The sequence below is a fragment of the Homo sapiens genome, chromosome 14 (genome assembly GCF_000001405.40).
Source record: "Homo sapiens chromosome 14, GRCh38.p14 Primary Assembly".
Classification (NCBI taxonomy): Eukaryota; Metazoa; Chordata; class Mammalia; order Primates; family Hominidae; genus Homo; species Homo sapiens.
In genome coordinates, this window is record NC_000014.9 from 57468706 (window position 1) to 57495166 (window position 26461).

The 26461-nt window shown below is 39.8% G+C and overlaps 1 protein-coding gene and 1 long non-coding RNA gene across 16 annotated transcripts in view; one reads left to right on the forward strand and one right to left on the reverse strand.

Annotated features, from left to right (window-relative positions):
- On the reverse strand, positions 595–25152 carry CCDC198 (coiled-coil domain containing 198). Of its 15 annotated transcripts, none has more exons than XM_047431523.1 (7): positions 24808–25152; positions 22284–22366; positions 14360–14446; positions 12854–12955; positions 11890–12049; positions 6877–6999; positions 595–2885 (listed from the first exon to the last, which is right to left on the reverse strand). In XM_047431523.1, exons 2-7 carry the CDS (start codon positions 22353–22355, stop codon positions 2650–2652), a joined length of 780 nt encoding a protein of 259 aa, XP_047287479.1. In that variant the 5' UTR covers positions 22356–22366; positions 24808–25152; the 3' UTR covers positions 595–2649. The 15 variants fall into 15 exon arrangements, with proteins under 15 accessions (XP_047287479.1, NP_001269985.1, XP_047287478.1 ...); NM_001283056.2 differs by having other exon boundaries at positions 12854–12952; positions 24788–25152; XM_047431522.1 differs by having other exon boundaries at positions 24788–25152.
- LOC105370519 (uncharacterized) overlaps positions 22330–26461 on the forward strand; it is an 87246-nt gene continuing 83114 nt past the window's right edge. The window contains exon 1 of the long non-coding RNA XR_007064194.1: positions 22330–23334. This is a non-coding gene — a long non-coding RNA (uncharacterized LOC105370519). The remainder of the gene's footprint in view (positions 23335–26461) is intronic.

Here is a 26461-nt window from a genome sequence, read left to right on the forward strand (position 1 = left end):
TTTTGGTAAACAATAGTCTACTCCAAAGGGAAGTTCTGCTAGGTGACTCTGGCAACTTACTTAACCTTTCTGTGTCCCAATTTCCTCATCTTTAAGATGGGGATGATATTAATACTGACCTACAAAATCATTATGAGGATTAAATAGGTAAAATATTTGAAGAGTACTGGCCCACAATAAACAGGAAATGCATGTTGGCAATTATTACTATAATTATTACTCCTTTAAAATCCTTGAATTCATCATAACTGCATTATAAGGAGTTCTACATGGAGCTGGCTAATAAACAGAGAAGGCATTAGGATGGATTTTCTTTGGAAGCTAACACACTCTGATAGTTTTGAAAAGTATTTTGAGCTATGGCATCCTTATTGGCATATACACATAGTTCCTGTATCCCAAGGCAATGCTTAATTTTGGCCATTCATTTAGATGTATAAACGGCAACAGCTTTTGCAAGAAAAAGTCATTTTCTTTACTATATAATCAACCTTGTCTATCCAAGACTCCTGGGAGATGATGGAAATGAGGGTGAGCAACTGCATAGCTGGAGAGAAACAAGTGTTTCTCTAATTGACTAGTCAACTCAACACATTCATTAATTCAGCAAACATTTAATGATAAACTCTTTGCCAGCTGTCCTGCTAGGAAGCAGAAATACCATACAAAGAAGACATGGTTTATGCCCTCATGTAGCTCACAGTTCATTAAGCTTGTGGAAGTGGGTTTCGTGAAATTGAATTTTAAGTCACATAACAGAATGGTGAAGACGTGCCTTTGGCTCCACTAATTTTAGTGTTCAAAGTTATCCATCCCATTTTTTGTGTTTTAAGCCTTCCAAATTGACCACAATAAGTGAGGACACCATGAATAGGTTGGATTTGTTTATCCTCTCAAGGATCTCATTTTTTCTAGAAAGCTGGCTAGTCAAACAATGCATGCTTTCTTTTGGTGGAAATATGCTTCTTACCTACCACAGAAAAAGTAAGAAGACTACTCACAAAGAACTGGGAATAGATATGGCCTGGGACAATCTAATAGCCTTCTGTCCTTGGAAGAAACATGAATTTTTATCACCTGACATCTCAGGCTTGTTATCTTCTTAGTTTCTGATGTGAATGCATTGAATGTCAAATTGAAGTGGTGTTTTCCTCTATTTTTTTCTGTTTTTGGAGTCTTCCCATATAAGGCACAAAAGGGTCTTTTTGTTTTGCTTTGTTTTAAAGCTTTAATAAATTCTTGGAAGATTCTGGATTGCTTGAAATTATTTTTAGATTATGCTAAACATGGAGCTGCATTTTACACAAAAGTTCTTAAAAATTGTCCCAAAAGCTAATTTTTCCAAGTGGAATAACTTTAGAATTGAACATTTATAAGATTCGCTTTATGTTTTAAGGAGCTCTAAAATCTACATCATAATCTAAGAAGTCTTAATTTTGAACTTTAATTCACAACGATCTTCTACACGTGACATTATCTCACGTGTATCCTGTAGGCTCTCTGTTACGGTTAGCTCACTAGAAAGTGACCTAAGTGAGCTTAGTGTTTAATGCAGCATTACTGTGAATTTCCTTTAGAAACTCACTTTTATTTGTCTCCAGTCTACTTTTTCATCTATTTGTTTTTGGTTTTTTGTTTTTTAATTTTGAGACAGAGTCTCATTCTGTCGCCCAGGCTGGAGTGCAGTGGAGTGATCTTGGCTCATTGCAACCTCTATCTCCTGGGTTCAAGCAATTCTTTTGCCTCAGCCTTCGCATCAAGTAGCTGGGATTACAGACGAATGCCACCATGTCTGGCTAATTTTTGTATTTTAGTAGAGACGGTGTCTCACCATGTTGGCCAGGCTGGTCTTGAACTCCTGACCTCAAGTGATCTGCCCACCTCGGCCTCCCAAAGTGCTGGGATTACAGGTGTGAGCCACCACATCCAGCCCATCTATTTGTTTTATGTAATCTAATTTTCTTTTTAAAAACATGGTGAGGTGGCAAATGTCAAAGATGAACCCCAAAGGACCACACTTTGGCACTCATGCCCTTGTGTAGTCCTCTTCTGCATTAACTCCAAGCTGGTCTATGACTTTAACCAACAGAACATGGTGGAAGTGATGCAAAGTCAGTTCTATGACTAGCTTTTAAGAAGACTGGCAACTTCTGTTTCCTCCTCTTGAGACAATTGCTTTTGGGAGCCCTGGGCTCATATGAGAGAAATCTCTGCAGTGTCCTGCTGAAGAGATCATATGCAGATGCTCTGAGGCTACATGGATAGGGGGCAAGGTCCCCCTGTGTCAGTGTCCTAATGGGGCCTCTGGATGACTCCAGTCTTAGTAGTCCAAATGTAGTCCAATTTCAATGACATGAAAGATTTCAAAAGGGAACAGCAGAAGAACCACCTAGCTGAACTCAGCAACCCACAGGAAAGTGAGACAATAAAATGGCTCTTGGTTAGCCCCTGTGTTTTGAGGCATTTAGTTATGCAGCAATAGTTAACAGCACATGTGACGGACTTGTTAATCATAAGACTCTAAAGATATCATTTCTTTTTACCAAAGTGATTTGCTGTCCTCAAAGTAATTCATATATCAGTTTGGAAGATTTTGAGAGTAAAACAAGCTTTCAAAGCACTCAGTTTCTAGGTTAATGAATAGTATTCTTATTCTTGATCAAAAAACTCATCGAAAAGTGGGATTCTCTCTGTCCTGGTCCTCACCAGTGCTCGTGGCTTCTTCTCATCTTTCCCCTGCTCATCTGAGTCAGAGCTGGAACTGTCCCAGAGAAGCTGTCCCTGGGCCTCTTGTTCATGAAGCCATGTTTCCATTTTGCCAATTTTCCAGGGACAGTAGTTATTCACTGCTTGATGTTTCAAAAATTCTGTATTCTTTGAATTTCCTACAAAAAAATTAAGTTTCTTTAATTTTTTCCCTTAGCAATGATTTATTTGTTTATTAAGTGCCTAGCTTAATAAATAATCTGCTTGGTGGTTTTTCAAACTATATATACATAGTTTGAAAAATTATATATATATATAATATATATATATATACATTTCAACTGGTGTCTCTGTAAGCATTAAACATTTTTTAGTTGTTATTTTTTAAATGATTTAAATCTTCCAAAAGTCACAATAATACAACACACACCTATATACCCCATCCATCAACATTTTGCCACAATACTTTTTCATCATATATATGCATATATCTATCTATCTATGCATACTTTTCAGCTGAACCATTTGAAAATTAGTGGCAGAGTCACCTCCCCCCTAAATATATCACTACAAATCTCTTAAGACCAAGGGCATTTTCTCTGCATAACTACAATACAATTATTACACTTAAGAAATTTAACATTGATATAATACTGTTTTCTAATATATGGTCTATATTCAAATATCCATGGTTGTCACAATAATGCCCATTATAACTACTTTTTATTTGCTGTTTGTGTTTTAATCTTTAGGTCCAGGATCCAATCTAGGATCATATATTGCATTTTATTTTCTCATCTCAGTATCCTTTAATTCAAGAATACTCTTCTACCCTTTTCTTCTCTTTCTTTCTCCCACAATCTCTACACCCCATCACCGTTCCTCCTCTTTCTCCTCTTCTGTTTCCTCTTCCATCTTCATTGTCTTTTTCATTTTTCCTAATGTAATGCTGACATTTTAAAGAATCCAGGTCAATTATTTTGCAGAATGATCCTAAATTTCAGCTTACCTTATTATTTCCTTGTTATTAAATTGAGGTTAAACATTTTGGGCAAGAATATTGCACAGGTGACATTGGGTAGTGCTTTTTGTTGAACATCTACTATGTGCTAGACACATAATATATACTTCTGACATTCACATCAACTCTGGCTTCATAGCAGAATCACCTGTTGCAGCCTTTTAGAAAGAGATGTCTAAACTGTTCTCCAGACCCATAGTACTGGGAAGTTCAGTGAGTCTGGCATTCTATTTTACTTTATATTTTTTATTAAAAGAGACAATTTATTTTTAGTTTGGGATTTTATTTATGTGCATATGTATTTACCTTAGTTTTTTATTTAAGCAGTTCCCAGCATTCTTTATAAGGCACTCCAGAAAGCAACAGGAGCTTTGTTCAAGGAAAGCTGGCTTTTAAGAAAACAAAATCTTCCCAACCACTTTGGAGCTGAAACAAAAATCCTAGGTCAAAGCCCAGAGTTTCCCACTAGACTGGTTGAAACGACCATAACTTTTTGGATGTCATCTTAATGATGATTGTTTATTAAATCTTTTGGCATAGTTTATGTAAGCCCTTGATATCTGAAGTTGTGTATTATTATATAAGAAAATCAAGTATTTCTTTTTACCTTGTGCACCATATTGTTAAAAACTACTTTATTGAACTAAGATTGACATACAAAAGCTACACATATTGAATGTATACAGCCTGGTGAGTTGGAAACAAGCATTTTAATGTGAGAATTCATGCCTTGTGATTTCTTGGGCCTCAGTGAGAGGCTACCAGTTTTTCCCCTTGAATACTATTATAATGATTGTTGTTGCCTATTTAGATAGCACTGGCAGATAACCATCTTAACGTCTGCAGCCCTGATCTCTTTCCTAAGCTACAAAGGACGTTTTTGTAAAACTGGACACCTCCACTTTGATATCTACTTGGCAATAATGCAGCCCTACCTTCTCTTTCTCTCACAAACCTGCTTCTGCTCCTGGCTACCCTAATTCAGCAAACGGTACTAACTTTACCCCATTGTCTGCCTAATTGTTCAAGAGAAACCCAGGAATCTACCTGGCCTCCTTACCCTCTCCATGCACTCACATCTAACCTATCACCTGATAATTCTGATCATTCTGTTTCCTAAAGATCTCATATCTGGCTGCTTCTCTCCATCCTGATCGTGACCCCACTATCCTGGTCTCAACATCATCTCTCACTTGTGCTTTTGTTGTGTCCTTATAATTGGTCTTCCTTCATCCTTTTACTTTCCCCTCCCACCCATTCTCCACAGTGTAGACAGAGTGACATTTAAAAATATGAACCTGCTTATGCCACTCTCCTGCCTTATCAGTGGCTTCCCATTGATCTTAAGATAGAGTTTAAAATTCTTATCTGACATGGCTTACAAAACCCTGTGTGATTTGGCCCTGCCCATGTCTCCAGAACCATCTCCAGTTACTCTCTGAATCTCTCATTCACCTAGAGTCCATCGTGTTCCTTCCCACTGCAGGACTTTTGCACATGCTGTGGTTGATTACCATTTTCAAAATTCCAGCACCCATGGTCCTCACACCTACATGCCCTCCTCCCCACTTCATCCAGCTACTTCTTATCTCAGTTTAAATGTCCCTTCCTCATGGAAACTTTCCCTGACTCCACAGATACCAGGTCTACCTGTTATACTCTTGTTAAACATCTCTTTGTTAAAACCAGAAACCATATCTGCCTGGCTCATCACCATACAATGAAACGACCACACAATGCCTGGCACTTGGTATGTGCTAAATAAATATTTGGTGAACAAATAGATGAATAAATGAATAAACAAATGAGCAATCAGAGAATTTTGGGAGATGGGAAGTATTGGTAACTAGGACCTAAAAAAGGCCCCATTCATTGGGGCTCAGGAATGCCAATCATCTCTGCTCTGCAAATTAGTCAAGAACTACCAGAGGCACCATTCAGACTGGGAACAGGAATTTTCTAGAACATCCAGCTATCAGCAGGAGCTCTGAAACAGAAGGGGAATGTTTGTTTGTGGTGGGATCTAGTGAAATATTAATGATAGCCTAAGTCCCACAACACCATTGATGTTATGAAAATTCAGGTCTAATGTTAGTGTATGAGACAAAATTCAAATATTCAGTTTCATCCTTGAAAATAAATCCTTTGTCACTCATAAAGTATTACATACATAGTTTTGTGTACACAGCATTAAAATTTGAGAGCTTCTGAGCTAGGTTTCTTATTACTTGTTACATTTTTATAAATCCTCATTTAATTCTCTGTGGTTTATAGACTTTAAAAAATAAAAACACAGTGTTTAAAAACCTAAATGGGTTTCGGGTGAGCAGAGTAAAGGAAAGTGTATCCTACTCCAAAATTAATTTAGGGAGAGAGGAAAGCAACAGCTGTCAGTGGGAAAAATAGGAAGTGATTTAGGTAGTAGAAGAATCACGTAAAGCATGAAAACTGTTTGATGGTTGTGTATTTTATGTGTTTCAGAAAAATGTATCACTACTCTATCAAACCCAGAATTTCACATACAGAGCTATATTAAAAAATAAAACAGGCTGGGCACAGTGGCTCACGCCTGTAATCCCAGCACTTTGGGAGGCCGAGGCGGGCGGATCACGAGGTCAGGAGATCGAGACCATCTTGGCTAACACAGTGAACCCCCGTCTCTACTAAAAATACAAAAAATTAGCCGGGCATGGTGGCGGGCGCCTGTAGTCCCAGCTACTCGGGAGGCTGAGGCAGGAGAGTGGCGTGAACCCGGGAGGCGGAGCTTGCAGTGTGCAGAGATTGTGCCACTGCACTCCAGCCTGGGCGACAGAGTGAGACTCCATCTCAAAATAAATAAATAAATAAATAAATAAATAAATAAATAAAATCTATAAAAAAATAAAATAAAACAAGATTCTTTATAGAAAGAGTGCAGGTGGCCAGATAAGACCAGAATTTTGAAGCTGACATTAAAATAATGGATTCAAAGTGACACATCCCTGAAGCATATGACTGTTTTCACTATAAGACATCAATTGTGGCCAGGCGCGGTGGCTCATGCCTGTAATCGGATCATGAGGTCAGGAGTTCGAGACCAGCTTGGCCAACATGGTGAAACCTCGTCTCTACTACAAATACAAAAGTTAGCTGGGCGTGGTGGCAGGCACCTGTAATCCCAGCTACTCGGGAGGCTGAGGCAGGAGAATCATTTGAACTTGGGAGGCGAAGTTTGCGGTGAGCCGAGATCATGCCATTGCACTCCAGCCTGGGTAACAGGAGCGAAACTCTGTCTTAAAAAAAAAAAAAAAAGACATCAATTCTATCCTTCTTCAGTTTTGTCTATATTCCCATACATTTGTACGGCACTTAGCTTCTTTTTTTTTTTTTTTTTTTTTTTTTTTTTTTGAGACAGAGTCTCTCTCTGTCGACCAGGTTGGAGAGCAGTGGTGTGATCTCGGCTTACTGCAACCTCTGCCTCTCAGGTTCAAGTAATTCTCGTGCCTCAGCCTCCCCAGTAGTTGGGATTACAGGCATGTGCCACCACTCCTGGCTAATTTTTTGTATTTTTACTAGAGACGGGGTTTTGCCATGTTGGCCAGGCTGGTCTCGAGCTCCTGACCTCAAGTGATCCACCCTCCTCAGCCTCCCAAAGTGCTGGGATTACAGGCATGAGCTATGGCCTGTAAAGTGCCTGGCCACACTTTACATTTTATGTGTGCTTTTATACATGTTAATTTTTACATAAACTTTACATGGTATACAATAACTTTATTCCCATTTTACAGATGTGGAAACTGAGGTTCCTGGAGGTTAAATAACTAGAATTTAGCTATATTCTTTCTCTCTCTAGAATAAAATTATATAGAAAAATATACAGTTAATATTTATTGAGAGGCTATCATGTGTCAGGTACTATTCTAGGGACAAGAAAAGGTCCCTGCCTTCATGGAGCTTCCATTTAGTAGATGCACTACTGGGACTCAGGGAAGGGCTTTGAGGTCAGTTCCGGTGCTCTTCCCACCCTCTGTGTTCATTCATGTCACAGCTTCAGCAAAGGGTAGGAGCCACAGAAACACATTAAATCTCATAGACTTGTACACCAAAAAGAGTGACATTCACTATGTGTACATTATATATCATTTGTGTCATATGATTGTATATGTAATTTATTATAGGAATGTATGTAAAATACATGTAAAGCGTGGGAGATTTCATTTTAAAGATGCAGTAGAAAGCAGCAACTGACTTTTATCTCACAAGAGAGCCACAACCCTCATTTCACCTTTCAACAGGGGAACAAGAATGGGCCAGTATGTCATTAAGAGGAGACTGCTACAGAGGAACCTTAATGACCAGACCCTGATAGTAGAATGCTTAATGACCAGACCCTGATAGTAGAATGCTTATGTAAGTGTAAGATCTTAGCTACACTCCATTTGTAGGAGAAAGCGAACTACTTTTAGAAGGCGTGGAAAGAAATCAAAGATGCTCTCTGGGAATAAGCAAAAAGGAATCATCGCTAGGACAAATGCCGAGCACAGAGGTGAAGGCTGTCGCCTCAGGAGTCAGGTGCCCCGTGAGTGCACGCCTGAGCAGCTTCACCTCTCACTGGCTGGCTGTGACCTTGCATATGTGACTGGACCTCTCTGGACCCAGACTCTTCATCTGTAGAAGAGAGGTGGTAATAATTTTCACCTTGTAGAGTTAATATGAAGATTAAATGCTGCATTTAAAATTCTTAGAAGCACTTGTAAATACTAGCTGTATCCATTATTATCCCAGTATCCTATACTTTTACATGTACAGGGCTGCACAGTGAACACTGCAGCACAGAACAGAATGATATCCTTTGGAGGCATTGTAATCTCTCTATCATCAAACAAATTTCCAGTGATATTTGCTTTACTTCTCTTTCCAACAACTTCAGCAATAGGCAAGTGAGTTGATGCAGACATGTTATTCTAAAAGTCTAGTTAATTATGATATCATTATAATAGGAAGAGTTAGAATTCCCTCTCTATTTCATGCTAGCAAAATCTACATTTTCTAGGCTCATTTTGTCACGTGTATCTCACACACACACACACACACGTACAGGAGTTGTTACAAAGAAAAAGATTCTCATACGGTTAAAGTGTTGAAAGAGTTCTCAAGGGTTATCTAGTCCATCTAAGTTTGGTTAATGTTCAAAATCACTTGAGGAACTTTTAAAATGTAAAATTCTTTCACCATCAACCTAGAGATTCAGATTCGGTAGGATGAAGCTGGGAGACAGGACTGGGTGTTTCTTTTGTTTGTTTTGAGATGGAGTCTTGCTGTGTCGCCCAGGTTGGAGTGCAGTGGCATGATCTCGGCTCACTGCAACCTCTGCTTACTGGGTTCAAGCGATTCTCTTGCCTCAGCCTCCCGAGTAGCTGGTATTACAGATGCCTGCCACTGTGCCCGACTAATTTTTGTATTTGTAGTAGAGACGGGGTTTCACCATGTTGGCCAAGCTGATCTCGAACCCCTGACCTCAGGTGATCTACCCACCTTTGCCTCCCAAAGTGCTGGGATTACAGGCATGACTGGGTGTTCTTGAGAAGCTCCTCAGGTGGTTCTGCTCATAACTGAGCTTTTGTGCACTACTGATGCAGCTACACCTCCCTGACTGGCACTTGAATTGGTTCCTGCCTGAGTTACTCCTTCTATTCTCCCTTCTCTACACTCCATCACTTCCAGGAGAACATGAGCTCCAAAGTCTGCCAGCTGCTTTAACTTTCCTTTCAGAAGTCGCAGAGTGCAGCCTTCTTTGTAAATAAGGTCAAGGACTCACAACCCCCACATTTGCAAACTTTTCCAAAGCTGTCCTTGACAGAGTTCCAAGTCCTTGGTGTCCTGGTGGGGCTGTGTGAGAGTGCAAGTCAAGAAGACCTGACCTTGAATTCTGGCTCTATCACCCTGGGGCGAATAGTAGCTCCTACCTTCTAGGTTGTGTGAGAATTAAAAGAGATAATGCATATTAAAGGCAAACCACAGTACCTGGCTTATAGTAAGCACTCAACAAACCTTAGCTTGAACAAAACGAAGCAGCTTTAAAAAGCATCAGGAGAGCAGAGGAAAACCCCTTTCTCCATGTGCCAGTTTCTCCTTGGTCCCCTCCAGGTCTGAGACATCTTCCAGGGACTTTGCCAATGCTGGTTTTTCTTGGCGTGCTCTCAAGTGATGACTCTTAAATGTCTAACTTTAGGTGAGGTTTTTTTCTTGGTTGTTTTGTGTATATTTTTTAAGGTACGGTTTAAATGGTAAAAATTGTTTATGTGACTACAAAGGATATTTCATTCTGAGACTTGGAAGTATAGGTTAAATAGATGCCCCAAGTAGATTTTCAATTATTCAGCCTTTTCTTATTTAATTAACTTATTGATCGAGCGTCTTGTTTCTCCAAGTAGGAGCAGTGTCTCTTTCAGCAGGCAATTTTGCGTCTTAGAAGTTCAAGACCTCCAGAGACATAGCCAGCTTTTCTGCAGCTCTCTCAGCGGTGGGTCAGTCCTGCTGATGTGGGGATTTGGCCCACGGCACAGCGATCTGTGTGTGTGAACAATATTGGAAATTTCAACTGTGGGTTTGCCCTGGGGAAATACAAACAAGGAAAACTTAATGGGGCTCTAATTGGTGGGGCAATGTAGCGTAGAAGTTGTAGACAAGCCTGTCCATTAGAAAGCATAGAGCGATCTGAGAGCATAAACAATTTGGCCTGGCTGAAATGTGGGGGCTGGGTGCGAGAGTGGCAGAAGATGAAGCTAGAAAGGCTAGGTAGGCAATGACTAGATCCTGAATGGCTTAGGATCCCATGTTGAGTTTATTTTATTTTATTGAGACAGAGGCCTTGTTATGTTGGCCAGGCTAGGTTTTGAAATCCTGGCCTCAGGTTGTCCTCCCACCTCAGCCTTTTGAGTAGCTGGGACTACGGGCATGAGTCACCACACTTAGCTCCATGTTAAGGAGTTTAGATGTTGTTTTTAAGCTGACAAGAATCCTGCTTGTTTTTCTAAGCAGGAGAGTGACATGGTCAGATTTGCATTTTATGAGATTACTCTGATGTTAGTGCAGTGCTTCTAGAACTTCAGTGTGCATGAGAATCATCTGGCAATCTTGATAAAATGCAGGTTCTCATTCAGTAGGTCTGGGGTATGACCTCCATTTTTGCCTTTTGTAATAAACTCCCAGGTGATACTGATGATGCTTGTATGTGGTAATACTTTAATTACCGAGTAGAGTTAAGAATCACTTAAAGTTAAGTGTTTCTTAAACTTTAAGGGAATCACAATAACCTGGAGGGGTGGTTAAACCCAGAGTACTGGGCATAACCCCTGCAGTTTTTGATTCAGTTACTCTGGCTGGGGCCCTAACAGGTTCCCAGGTGATGCTGATGCTGGTGGTCTGGTGACCACATGGAGAACCACTGAAGTGAATCATTGATGGATGGACAGTAAGACCTAATGGGAGGGGCCAAGTCAGGAGGCTGTAGCTGGAGCCCTGGTGTAACAGGACCAGGGCTATACCTAAGGCAATACTACTGGGAATGGAAGAGAAAGGGCAGATTTTACTGCTAGGTGATATCAGCAGGGCTTGGTGACCGACCAGCTGTAGGGAGATAGGGAAGAGTGACATTGGAGGCCTGGTTCACTGAGCCAGTAGATCAGCAGGAACAGCAAGCTTAGGTTGGGCAGTGATTCATTCTAGAAATTCTGAATGTGCCAAAGAGAGTTGACCTCCACAGAAAAGGGTGCAGTCAGGAAGATAAGTGTCTGCATATGGTACCAACTCTGCTGAAGCAAATTTGCCATGTGACTGCCGGCAATATATCTTCATATGCTTCATTCTCTCTAACCACAAGATGAGGCTATTTTGCCTTTTCTGCTTCTAGGGATGAGGCAAGACTTGCAATGAAGCATGCAAAGCATATTAAACCCATACAAAGAAAGAGACATTTAATTACCAAGCTTAAGCTTCTGTCTTTTCCTCCCAGCCATCCAAAATTACATGACAACATGCCCACTATATTCTGGGAAGTAAAAATCTCAGCAAGAGCTCAAAGCTGTTTGCTGTCTTCTCATCATGTCCCTCCCTTGGTAGTTTATTTGATGAAGTTTTAAAAACACTTGAAATGTTTTACTAAAAAATTGTACATGACTCACCGGGACCTCTGTTCAAGATTTCATCAGGCAACATGGTTAGAAGGTCATGGTCATCATTCCTTGGGGTGCTTTGAAGGGTTTTCTTGGCTTTATGGTCCCTTGGACTTTGCTTATTAATTCTTGCCTCTCCATGAAGACTTTTCTTTAACTCCATTTGGGCCTGAAAATCATCAACTATAAATGATCAATGTTCTTCCCAAGCTACTTTCACCAGACTAGATCAACAGATCAGCCACTTTGCAAGTTGTGTGCTTATCTGTAGACATCTGCAGTCCTCTAACCAGAACATGGTTTTCTTTTTCCTATTAGAAGGTATGGGAACTTTATTTATTGACAGGCTTGTTAAGAGAAAGGTGAGTGCACCCAGTCTCAAAAAGGTATGGCTCAATTAAGATGAGGACCTTTACAAAAGTGTGTTTCTGTCAGCTAGCTGATATGATTGGAGTTCCAGAGAGCAGTAACTAAAGGCTCATTTCCTAGAGGGAGGAATTTGGAACATGACAGTTACAGGCATTACTGGTAAAGGGTTTTTTTGTTTGTTTGGTTGGTTGGTTGTTTTTTTTACAAGAGGTCTTTCTTGTTAGATAATTCTATGGCAAGAATTATAGAGAGAGGCCTAGGTATCAGAATAAAGAACAACTCACCCCCTCCTCCTTTCACTAAACCAAGAAAAATGATCTAGCCCCATTTTCCTATGTCCAGAATGTCATAGGAGCAAACTGTTTTTAAAAATGGAGACTTGCGACACAGATACACAGATACAAACTTAGAAAAGACTCAACAAGGTTATCAGCAGAAGGAATCTTCCTGATTCTTCTCAGCTTTAGTAGTTGAACCTTCAACCTCAATGACGAAATTTAAAATGCTAAGTAAAGACTGGCTATCTATGCTTGATATATTCATGTGGCAGGGCAGTGATTATGTGATGAAAATTTGGTAAATATGACACTCTTCTCGTATTTACCTCTTGTCTTTTACGGATCATTTCCAGCACTTGCATCTTATGCAAATATTGTCTGTTCTCAGAAGTATACATTGGAGTTTGCATTTTCTTTTCTAGTACCTGCTATGAAAGACAACACACTTGTTAGTATGGGGTAATTTGTTACTGACTCTGCAATTCACAAGTTTAGATCCTTTTTGAAACAGAGTCAGATCTTAATCAGTCATAACCTGTAGAGATATCTTGTGATGACAAAAGTGGACTATCGTGTGTCCCTGACAAGTCCTTTGTGTCACTATCAATGAATGAAGTGGCTCTTTGATGTGTATATATGTAGTTTTTTAGGTTGCTATAGAGTTTTGTAAACCTTAAATGGGAATATCTTTCCACATCTCATTTTTGGCAAGATATCACTTCCTTTGTAAACAGATGCTTATTACCACCTCTCCAGAATTGTGTTCTGGTTTGAGGAAACCTTTCTTTTTCTCCCTGCCTCTTTTACCATTGAGTAATTGGCTGGCTATGAAATGAGAGGGAAGCTGCTGAATGGTGAAATGGAACCTATTTCTATAGAGTGCATTTCCATATGCCAGCATAAGCCTTGGAGAATATTGCAGTTTAGGGAGGATTTGAAGTTGATTATTTGTGACTCTGAACATCTCCCCGCCAGTGCATCATAAACTCCAGTGGGACAGTGCAGACGGTTATTGAGGGCAGCCAGAGGTCAATATACCTTCATTTGTCATTTGCTGTTGCCAGGAAAGATGATGTGTTTGACAATACCTTTTGTGTTGCTGTGTGGATAGTGACTGTCAGCTGATGTGAACCTCAGGGAGGGGCCATCTCCACAGATGCTGTCAGCACCACAAACGTGGGCTTGAGGATGTGACAGCACCTGGACATCTTTGTCAAGTCAGCCAGCCACACAGCAGCACCTAGCAAGCTCCAAAACAAATTAGGAGTGGAAAGTGTTGAAAATCTGCTTCTACCTCTAAGCTTTCATTTCTATGTGAGGGGAGTTCTAGTCAACAGAACATTATAAGTGCATAGCAGGGAAAAGATACACAGAAGACATTTCCCAGGATTAATTTTTGGTGAGGTTGTGTCAAATAAGTCAGGAATAACTTGTAGATAAGATTTCTCCTGCAAACTGAGAATAAAAAGTTTTAAACTGAGGGGAGGAATGAAAGGGAGGACTTATGCTGAATTTTTCACAGATTTGAAAACTTCAGAATCACCAATTTCTAAGTAAAAGTCTTTTCTCATCTACATTGCCCTGGTTTTCAACACAAAGCAGAAAAGGGTGCAGAGCTCATGCAAGAGGTAATAGCCACTGCCAGTTGGAGGCATGCACAGAAGAGAATAAATAGCTTTGAAAAGTTCTCACTCTGAATGACTTAACAGTTTGATTTGTCTTTGAACTCCTCCATGCAGAGAGTGCATGAAAGGACCAGTGTGCTCCAGTGCCCCAATCCTGTGTCGCCCACCCCCAGTTCACCTCCCTGTCAGGTTACTGCTGCAGCTCACCTTTGCTTTGTGCATTGTCCTGGCTTCTCGCTGGCTCAGGAGTCTTCCTGAAGTAATTACTCGTGGCAAGTCAATGGGTTCAAGCTTCTAGAAGTTCAACGTTTAGAGCAGTCAGCATTCCTCATGCCATGAGATGATGAAACAGAAAAGCCAGACATTAAATTATCTTAACACTTTGCAAAAGCGGCACTTATTTCTGAGAGCATACAGGAAAGGTGATTCTAACAGCATTACAGTTATATTGGTACAAAGGGCTTTTCAACCTATCTGGGTTCTTTATTATTCTAGTGCACTGTCGACAGTGCCTTATTGATCTAAGTGTTGGTCAGAGAGTTAGGAGACTAAGATACTCTTCTGTCTGCATTAAGGGACCATGTCCAAAGTTATCAAACCACCAGGATCTTAGAATATTAGAGATAAAAGAGGCGCTAGGAATTTATTTTATTTCACACATCCCTTAGGTACCCAGCTGAACTATTCCAGCCCTTAGGGAAGCAATCTGTTTTTAAGATCTCTAGAGAAGCTCCTTAGTAGTAATCACTGGTGATTATGAGACACATTTAAAATGAAACTGCAGTGTGCTAACACATTTTAGAGATGTCCTTTTCTAGCAGGGGCTTGGCTTGATAGGGGAGATCATGTTGGCATTTCAGGGGGTCACTAAGACTGGGCAGCAATTCATGTCAACCGGTCTGCCTCCAGCCGGATCTTGATCACTGAGAAGTGATCAAGCAGGTTTGGGAGACAAAGTCTGGTCTCTTGACATTGACATGCAATGGGGAACGTGGAGGGCCACAGAGTTTATGTGTTCCTTCAGTGACTACTTAATGACTGCTACATGCCAGACATGGGGATGCAACGGTCACCAAAAGTGGATGTGGCCCCTCATGGAGCTTACAATCTATGCATAATAGATGTACATTTGCTTGTGTGATTATTCAAGTGATAATTACACTGCAGGGCAGAAAAAACCTGCAGGGCAGAAAAAATCTGCAGGGCAGAACTATGACACTACATAACTGAAGGACTCCACCTGAAAAACAGGGTGTGTTAGGGGTTGAATTGTGCCTCCCCACAAAATTCATATGTTGAAGCCCTAGCCCTCCATACCTCAGAATCGGAACTTATTTGGAAATAGGGTCATTGCAGATATAATTAGTTAAGATGAAGTCATGCTGGAGTAGGGCAAGCCCCTAATTCAATATGATAACGTCCTCATTAAAAAGGGGAAATCTGGACACAGACACACACACAGGCAGGACACGATGTGAAGATGAAGAGAGAGGTTGGGGCGATGGTTCTTCAAGCCAATGAACAGCACCCAAGAGTGCCAGAAAACTACCTAAAGCTAGGAGAGAGTCGTGGAACAGATCTTCCTCACAGGCCTCACAGGGAACCAACCCTATGGACACCTTGATCTCAGTCTTCTAGCAAACTAAGGCAGGAGGGAAAGGGCTAGGGAGGCAGTTCAAGAAAGTGCCTTAAGGTAGTACCTTTTTAGTAGAAATTGGAAGATTGGGAGTTTTTAAGGGACTAAGTTGTGCCATAGCCCTGAGGTGGGGAGTGATCATGATCTCTTGAAGGAATGGAAAGAAATTGGTTGGCTGCAGTTTACAGTAAGTGAAACAGCAGCTTGGAATGAGCTGAGAGGTGAGGCAGGGGCCAGGTCATGCAGGGCCTGACAGGCCATTAAGATAGTGGTCCCTTAAGAGCAATGAGAAGACACTGACATGCGTTAAGCAAAGGAGTGACACGAGTACATTTGCTTTTTAAAAAGGGTCATGCTGGCTGCAGTGTGGAAACTAGGAAGGAATAATTATGGATGTGGAGAGATCAGCTAAGAGGACAAAGATGATGGGCTGGGGTTGAGAGAGGGAAATTGATGAGCTCTACAAATGTTTAAAGCTGACCAAACAAGATTCATTATGGTTAGTAAAGGGGAGTAGAGTCCACAGTACAATGAATGGAGGGTGTTATCATACCCTGTGATGGGCAATCCAGAGGAAGACCTAGTTTGGGTAGGATGTAGAAGGAAAATACAAATTTGGTGTGCAATAGATTGAGTTTGAGACACCTTTAAGACAGGCCAGTGTAGATGTTGAGTTATACAGGGAGCTTGGGAGGAGAGGTCTGTGCTGGAGATTTTGGGGAATAATCCCAGAGTAGAGCATGAGTGAAGCCCAGGTCATGGGCAAGGTCAGGAGTGAGAAGAGAAGAGCCAACAACTGCAGACTCCAGGAGTTCCAGTGGTGAGGCTGGTGCCCAGGAATAAGCTGGCCAAGGAGACTGGGAAGTGATGGCTCAAGAAGTAGGAGGAAAACCATGAGGACATCATGCTGCTGCAAAGAGTGTGAGCCCTACTCCCACCTTAGTCCAACGCTGAAGGCACATGCTAATTTACTTTAAAATGGTTTAGTTTTAGTGTGATTTGTTGCATTATTAAGGGGGTAGATTTGGAAGTTAACTTGGCTTTCAAGGTGACCAGAATAAAAAGAGAGAGTGGAACCACGGAAGATAGATACTGGATATTCAGCACTTGTAATGGGGAGCATGACCTGGGTTCCCCACTACTTCCCTGTACAACCACTTCTAGGTCCCTGGTCCTGGACTGGAGAGCACCCAGCAGTCCTTTCTGCTGGAGCAGCCCAAAGTAGACCTGGTAAGGAAGAGAAGAAGGGCAAAGGATGTGGAGACAAAGAAGAGACAACAAGGGGGAAGAGCTCATCTTTGTGTTAGATATATACCAGATAGTAATTTGCATTTGTGGTGGGAAGTGGTTCTCTGTTCCATTCTCACCTCAGAGGAGGAAGTGGGTCTTTTAACATAACTTAGCAAAGATGTAATGAGAGGAGATCAATCCTAGTAAGAGGAGTTTGTCTGTTCCCTGAGTCTTAACTCTGCAGGACATGAAGATGCAAAGCAAATGGGACCTGCTGGCACAAGAGGCAGCTTCTGATCAAGTCAGAACCCTGCAAGAAAAGGGGAAGGAGAAGAAGGGGAGGGGAGGCCAAGGGAGAGGAGCCCCTCAAGGCACCTATGGGAGGAAGAATCAGGAATGACTGAAGGGGGATTTCTGGAAGCTGGGGAGAACAAATATTTGTGCCATCCTCTGGACATGGAGAGTGTTCAGGATTTGGTTCTTTCTCATTAGGCCTATATGCCTTCGCAGCCATTACTGCACGCCATGCCCAGGGTTATAAATATGTAATCTCATTCAATCTTCATGTGAACTCCGTGGATAATTACGAAGATTCCCCATTTCAGACAGGTTGCTGACTTGTCCAAGGTTGAACAGCTAGAAAGTGGCATCTCCAGGATTTAAGCGCAAGTGTGTCCAGCTCCAAATCTAAAGCTCTTTTCTGCACTATATGTTATCCAAAATGGCTTATCATCAGACTTTTCCGGGATTAAAAAAAAAAAAAGAAATTCTTGGCCCCTTCACTAGAGATTGAGATTCAACAGGTCTGGGGTATGTCCTGGAAATAAATATTTTCAAAACTCTCCCAGGGATTCTGATGATTTCTTTCTAGGTTGGGGGCCATTGACTTCCACATTGCCTTAAGTGAATAAAGGAACGACATCATAATAGACTACGGAGGATTTTTTTATGTGGAATATTTTTGAAAAATTGAGTCTGAAGAAGCCAAGAATTTTTAGTTTTATTAAACTAATCTATCCATAAATTCATGGACCAAGTTTTTGCTTTGATAGTATAAATATGTAGTTTCACAGATCTCTTTCTTCCATTTTCAGCCTTTCTATTTAAACACACAATTCTAATAAGGGTTCAGTGGTAGATATCTTCAAGAACTCTCTCCAGGTTGAGTTTCTCCCTGGCGTTTGAAAAGAGCCCAAGGAATCACACTATTCCTTCACAAAAGCCACTAGATGGCAGCAACTAACATTGCACCTGGGATCTCTTCATTAAATCCTTTGCCACTTGATTTGAGAAGCACTGCAGAAAATTGTTGGTGAAATTGGCTTCTGCTAAATTAACCAGTCAGATGAAATTGCCTCAGAATTCTGGGTTTGTGTGCATGTTCCTTTTCCCTGCCCAGGAAGTGAGATGCCTCACTTCATCATCTTCAAAGAGAACACAATGGAAGGAACTACCAGAGAATCGGTTAGAATGACACCTTATTTTCACTTTATAATGTAAGTATCATTTGTCTAAAGACTTCTGGATTATTTGACTTCTCAAACAAAACAAATGATCAGCATAATCAGTTGAAGCGTCTGCTAGGAGATTTGGGAATCTGGTGAAGGGCCAGGGGACTCAAGAGTGCTGATATGGGGGTTGCAATGTCAATTGATTGGTCAGGGTGGGTCTTATAGGGACAGTGAGATTTGAACAAATATTTGAAGATGAGGGAGTTATCCAAGGAGATCATCTGAGGACACACTATATGTGTGGGGGAAACACCTCCAATTTAAGCTAGACCTGAAATGGTTGGATAAGAAGGTGATCAGGCCAGAGGGGACAGTGCTAATCAACTCCTCAATAAAAAGGCCCATTTGATTCGGAGTTCCCTGGCAGAGGCTCTCAAAGCCTCTCAGCTCCAGGCTGGATAACGCTAGTTCATGACTTGCTCTTTATTTGAGGAGTAGATGTTTAGGAAGTAGAAGGTGCCAAAAATATATCTCAAATAATTTAGCATACAATTAGATTTGGTTTAATAATTTAAAATAATTTTAGAATTTTCTTTGGCAGAAATTAGGCTATTAATTAGCATGTCATGAGGACCCAGCATGTATTATTCTCTCAAAAACTCATTTGTGCTGGAAAATGTGCTGAGCTTCATTTGTGAAGATAATTATAGCTGATCTCTTTGGGAGTGTCTGCCAAGTTTCTAGTGATTTCCCTCCTCTCTGGGAGCTGACTTCAGAGTCTACAGGGGAGATGACTCTGCCCACATATCTACTGCATGAGCATATCCTCTGGCCATAGCTCATTGGACCAGAGCTGAAATCATGAGCAAAGCTGAGCCGATATCCTTTCTCCTAGGAATCTGGAATTGGAGTCAAAAAGGCCAATCTGTCCATTTGACTGGAACTGTAAGATACAAGCTCAGGGTGGCCATATTTCATTGTGTACCTGAAGAACAGAAAAAACTGATCTTTGGGGAGAAAGAGTATAGCAAATGCACAGAGAAGAACTTAGGGATTGAGAGAGCTCTGCATTTCAGGTTGCAAGGTATAATTCTTCCCTGAAGCTTAGGTGTCTCCCAGATCTTTGGTTCAATAAAACATTCCTATATCCTTTGATTAATCATGTTAGTTATTTTTGCTAGTCAATGAGACTTCTAATACAGTCATGTTACAGTGATGGTACAGACTTCTAATACAGTGATTACAGGTCTGCAGTAGCAGGGAGTGCACTTTGAGTGCTTTATCCCCCCTCCAGCAGGGATGATGGGTCTCACTGTCATTCATTTACTCATTCATTTTACTCACAAACCTTTGTGGATCTCATATTAAGTATTAATGGCTGAAGACATAAGATTGAATAAGACATAGTCTTTGCAACCTACAGAATGGGAGAAAATTTTTGCAGTCTATCCATCTGACAAAGGTTTAATATCCAGAGTCTGCAAGGAACTTAAACAAATTTACAAGGAAAAAACAAACAACCCCATTAAAAAGTGGGCAAAGGACATGAACAGACACTTCTCAAAAGAAGACATGCATACAGTCAACAAACATGAAAAAAGCTCAACATCACTGATCATTAGAGAAATGCAAATCAAAACCACAATGAGATACCACCTCACACCAATCAGAATGGCTATATTAAAAAGCCAAAAAACAACAGATGCTGGAGAGGTTGCGGAGAAAAAGGAATGCTTTTACACTGTTAGTGGGAGTGTAAATTAGTTCAACCATTGTGGAAGACAGTGTGGTGATTCCTCAAAGACCTAGAGGCAGAAATACCATTTGACCCAGCAATCCCGTTACTGGGTATATACCCAAAGGAATATAAATCATTCTATTATAAAGATACATCGATGCATATGTTAATTGCAGCACTGTTCACAATAGCAAAGACATGGAATCAACCTACATGCCCACCAGTGATAAACTGGATAAAGAAAATGTAGTACATATACACCATGGAATACTATGCAGCCACAAAAAGGAACGAGATCATGTTCTTTGCAGGGACATGGATGGAGTTAGAAGCCATTATCCTCAGCAAAACTAACTCAGGAACAGAAAACCAAACACTACATGTTCTCACTTATAAGTGGGAGCTGAACAATGAGAACATATGGACACAGGGAGGGGAACAACACACACTGGGGCCTGTCAGGGTTGGTGGAGAGGGAGAGCATCAGGAAGAACAGCTAATGAATACTGAGCTTAATAGCTAGGTGATGGGATGATCTGTGCAGCAAATCACCGTGGCACTTATTTACTTTTATAACAAACCTACACATCCTGCACCTGTACCCCTGAACTTAAAAGTTGAAGAAAAAAAAGGCACAGTCTTTGCACTGAAATAATTCATTTGTCTTGATTCTTTGTTTTTAAGATGGTTGGTTAGGGTGTGTGTGTATGGGGGTGGTGGTGCAGTGTTTGACTCTGAAATACCAATGTTCTCTTTTTGACCTTGTTTGACTATTGAGAAAATCAAAACCTAACCTCCTTTGTTTAGGACTGATAGATATAAAAAGTACTTGTGAGCTATAAAGTACTAGACAAATATTTTTTACTAGAGTAATATCTTCTATTTGAACTAATCAGCTTAGAGGCTTCACAGAAACATGTATTAAACTCATCCTTTGAAAGGAAGTATTTGATTTAGGAATAAAACACATTTTAAACTGCCCTGTTTACCTAGAGGATTTGTAAAAACTTGTAAATTAGATATTAATTTGTTATATTTCATTTTATTTTTCTTTATCTAAATAATGATTTTATAGTTTCTAATATTTTGGGAAAAGATACTCTTTTGAGACAAAATGATACAATCACTTCAAATAATGGCTGTGAGCTTCTGCAGAAGACAGGTAAATAAAAACCAACTGAAACAGAAATAATCCCCAACAAATGAGCTCCAGTACCCCTGGGATTGGTCCAGGCATCTGGGTGAATTGTGTAGCAGGTGGGATTTGGCTTCAAATGTCAGTGATAGATCCTGCTCACAAGAGAGCCCCAAACCCTCCTTCCAATGATGCTCATTTTCAAGGACCACTCCAATCTACCCATTCCCTTTCTAGGTTGAGAGTTCTTAAAATGTATAGCTAGCTGCAGAGAACCCATTAAATATTTATTGGGGTGAATGCGTTTAAAGCTCTTGCTTTGCTTCCTTGGAATCCAGTGTCCCGAATTTAAACAACCAGTTAACATCTAGAACAATAAAAGGTTAAAGATAGAAGGACTATAGAAATTACTTATGCTGACAGTTAAGAGTACAGACTTTGGAGACCTGGTTGATATCTGGCCTCTGTGAGTCTTTGGGGGTAGTTACTGAACTCTCTGACTAGCATGTATAAAACAAAGATAATTCTTCCTTTTTCATAGGTGGCTAAGAAGATTAAATGAATGACATAGATTGAATTGCCTAGTATAGTATCTGACTTGTAGTAGGGTGTAATTAAATAGTAGTAGCTGTTATTATTTATTACAAGTTGTTTTCCCATAGTCACCCAACTAATCAGTGCTAGATTCAAGCCTCTTGAATTCCATGGTATCTATGTCCTTGCTACTAGCTTCTTTCGGTGGCTGGTCTTAAAAGCGAAATCATTGCTAAAGGAAATCTTAAAGTAATAGAGTATTTGCGATTGATGACATTTTTCTTTAAGAACATTCTCATTAATAGCTTGGTCCTTATCAATATCCCTCTTTGATGATTATAGTTTAAAAAGGGATGTTACCATTTTATCCAAGAAATTCCTTATGAAGCCTTTTAAATTCATCTTACTTGAAGTCTTTGGGGTGGATGCCTTTTAATAATACTTGTTTCTCTGTGTTCCAGTGGGATGTCAAAATACATGTCTCTGGATGCTTGAAGGATTGGGGAAGAAACAGGAATAAAACATTAAATATAATTTACTATTAAATCAGGCAATCATTAGTTACTAGACTTTGTCAACACAATTTTGTACCTTTTCAGTTATATATGTCTAACCTGTGGGTTGAATGTGGAGATGAAACACAGAAAGCAGGGAACCTACATTAGTGCACATGACACTATTTTAGTCTGGACCCAGGATTTAATATCTGCTCTCCTAACTTCCTACTCAGGTTCATACTTAGGGGGAGAGTTACAAAATTACCAATATGTTGACTGCAAATATTTTTCAAACAGAATTTGGCCTGGAAAATAGAAATTTATTGACTTATTTTAATTCCATAAAATCTCCTCCCTGAAATATAAGACATCAGAAAAATATATAACTTTAAAAAATGAAAACAATCTTCTTAGATGAAATAGATGATAGATAGATAGGTGATTATACAGAGATGAGAAAGAAATGGAGTACGTGTGAACACAATTCAATAGCCCCTTTAGTGAAAAAAATTTCCACAGGTTGCCACTGTAATACAGCATATCAATATTCTTTCCTGATGAAACAAGCTGGGGATACAGAGTTAAGCCTCTATTAGGAAACAGAGAGGCTCAACAGATCCATTATGGATTTTATTTTCCAGCTTGATTATCCTGAGCTCTTGGGAGTGCTACCATGACCAGCGCTGCATGAATGAAGTTCTTGTCCTTCCCTTTTAACAATCTGGACACATTCTGACTTCTAGATTGTTTCATAGACTATTTTACAGTCCCACTTTGCATTTTAAATGGAAAAATCCCTGGGTAATTATGCATCTCTCTCCTTAAGACATGTGAATAACCACTTCAAGGACTTTGTTCTCTCTAACTTTTAGTGGGATGGAAACTATGTCCTTATTTTCTTTTGAAAAGATGCCAGCATATTGAGCAGGATGGAAACAACAAACATACTGGATTTAACAATGTAAGTATTTTCAGCTATTTTTTCAGAAGGCTTACTAATCCTTATTTTTTTTATTTTAGTGACATTACTCCATTATTTAATTAGATTTTCCTCAACTGGCATAGGCTGTGTCAGGCATTTATTTTTACCCCTGATTACAAGTGAAAAAAATTGATGAAGTAACTTGCCCAAGGTCATTCGATTTGGTATTTGATGGAGCTGGGGTGAGAATATGGGAGATCATGAGGATTCTCATGATCTTGTTATTTATTTTTAAATGTGATTTTGTCACTTCAGACATAAGCTCACCATTTATTCAGTTACCTAAATCTTTTTTTTCTTTTAATTGAGACAGAGTCTCTCTCTGTCACCAAAATCTTAAAACTCTCAATGGGGGTTTGGATAAAAAGGGAATTCCTCAATAGGAGCATTGCATACTCTTAGTACACATTCACGCTCCATTTTTTAAATCATGTCTATCACCTATCCCTCTATCTATCATAAAAAAATTCCTAAGGGGAAAATTCCCATCCATGTGCTTAAGAACTTGAAGAACATAAAGAACATAAAAACAGGCCATATAGAAACAACCAAACGTTATCAATTCTGCAGACAATAGCCATGAAAAATCATTCCAGGCAAGATTTGCTAGGTACCAAAAGAGAATGTGAGGCTTTCTGAACAAGGCATCCAATAAGGGAAACTTATTTGTGTTATTGATCCAGAAGGTGAAGAAAAGGGAAAACAATATACATATATATATGTATATAATAAACATATATTTTTCTAAGTGAGAATGTCTGTTTAATTATCATTGTGGTCATCATAAAACATTTTACATGGCTTATAAAATATCCCAGGATTTATGGCCACTTCAGGCTCAGAGCTTCCAATCATAATGGGAAAGAATTCTGTTAGTTCTGCAGATGACCATGAAGAATGTGGGGTTGGGAAAAGGGTGACTCATCCACTCCTCTGTACTGCAATAAATCAATACTGTTTAGGGTGGTTTCAAAATTCATGTTAGAATTAACTCACTCTTAAAGTGTTGCTTTCAAAACCACAAAGTCTGGTGCATTAAACTATACTGGAGAGAATGATTTAAATTTAGAATCTAACTGAAACGCGATTGCTATCATTTATCACTAGTATCTATATAATTTTAATGGTCTGGCAAAACTAGGTATAAACATTGAAAGCATTACAAACTGAGCTGAAACAAAATGATTTATCCTTCTCATATGGAATAGTGAAAAGTCCTTTGTACAGTTTATACTCCCATTCTAATGAACCCAGAATACTTTCAACTGATGTTCAATCCTCATTGAAAGATTTGAGTTTTCAAAGATAGCCTAAATTCCTTTACATTTCAGGAATTTAGAAACTTTCTGAGATCATGGAGACAGTCAGATAAACCTATTAATAATGCTCCTTGGTCCAGATACACACATCTCATGCTGGGTTTTATGTTTACCTGTAGAATATCTTCCATACCAGTTTTCTTGTAAAGGTGGCAGCTGCCCTTCCAAGGCTTTATTCTGGTCCTGCAGTCTTGCCAGTGAATATGAAGTCTTTTCTTCCAAATTCTGATTGAATGCAAAGTCCACACGGCCAGCCGAGGGAGTCTCTACCTCTTTGTTTTGCAAAGGTGCTACTTTGATCACCCTAAGGTGAGTCTTAGAGTGACTCAGGCCCATTTCATGTGAAAGACATTCAGAGGAAAGCTGCGAGGGAAGTGGTTTTGGGGTCTTTAATATAGCTTATTTTAATCAAAGCATTTCAGAAGTTTACCCTCGCTTTACAAAGCAGTCATTTCCTTCATGGCATCCTTCTAGCTCTGTTTCACTGCACACTAACCCTTTTGGCCACTTCCTGGGAGGCTGGTTTCCATGGAGACTTCCCTTCAACTTTGCCGTTTCAGACCCAAAGAATCCAGTTAAACATTGACTTGGTTATGCTACTTTCTGAAATACTCAGTGATAGGAATAGAAGCCACTGTTGATCATTAAACAAATATCGAACACCAGGAAGGTTATTAACAGAGAGAGATGTAGAGCAGAGGTTTAGAGAAGTCTTAAACTTGACCCTTTCATTGCAAGTACCTTTGTAAAAAAACTAACTGCTGAGAATAGCTAAGCCATCTTTGCAATTAAGAGGATGCATGCTGATTGCCAAGGCTTTGTTAATCTTTAATTTAATTAAAGAATTTATCCCCCAAATAGGAAAGAAAGCAGCGGAGCGGCTAAAGCGTCATTTGATTTTTCTGTCGATGACTTGAGTTGCCTTTGAAGGGGGTGAATACATTGCAGGACAGGAGGATAATAGAAATTTTTTTCCTGGGGATAAGGGGAAAAAATTCTTGAATAAATGGTCTAAGTAAACCTTGAGTTTTTGAAGATAACCTATTTACTATGTTTTTAAACTAAATTAAATTAATTTATTTATTTTTGAGACAGAGTCTCACTCTGTCACCCAAGCTGGAGTCACCCAAGCCCAGCGATCTTGGCTCACCACAACCTCCGCCTCACCAGTTCAAGTGATTCTCCTGAGTCAGCCACCCAAGTAGCTGGGATTACAGGCACCTACTACCACCACACCTGTCTAATTTTTGTATTTTTTAGTACAGAAGGGGTTTCACCATGTTGGCCAGGCTGGTCTCGAACTCCTGACCTCAAGAGATCCACCTGTCTTGGCCTCCCAAAGGGCTGGGATTACACGCATGAGCCACAGTGCCTGGTCTATTATGATTTTTAAAGTAGAAAAAAAGACTGGAAGGAAATGTGCCGAAATATTGAGTAGTGATTTTTGAATGGTGGGATTATGGGTGATTTTTATTTTATTCTTTATACTTAGAAGTGGGACTAACTTTCAAGCTCTAATTGTTCATGAGCACAGATTACTTGTGTTTTCATCACATCTCCATAAAGAAATTAAAAGAAAATTTATTTTTCATCTTTGCAGAATCCATTTCCTAAGGGACTAAGGTGATGTTTGGAAAGTCTTGGTAGACAATCACGTTTATCTAAAAAGATGCCTGAATTTAGTTTTTTCCTTACTCTCTTTGCATTTTCCACATCATTTTCTCTGCAGCAGAGAGGTTTATAAGTAAAGACTAATATATTAACAGTATCTGCAAACACAACAGCCT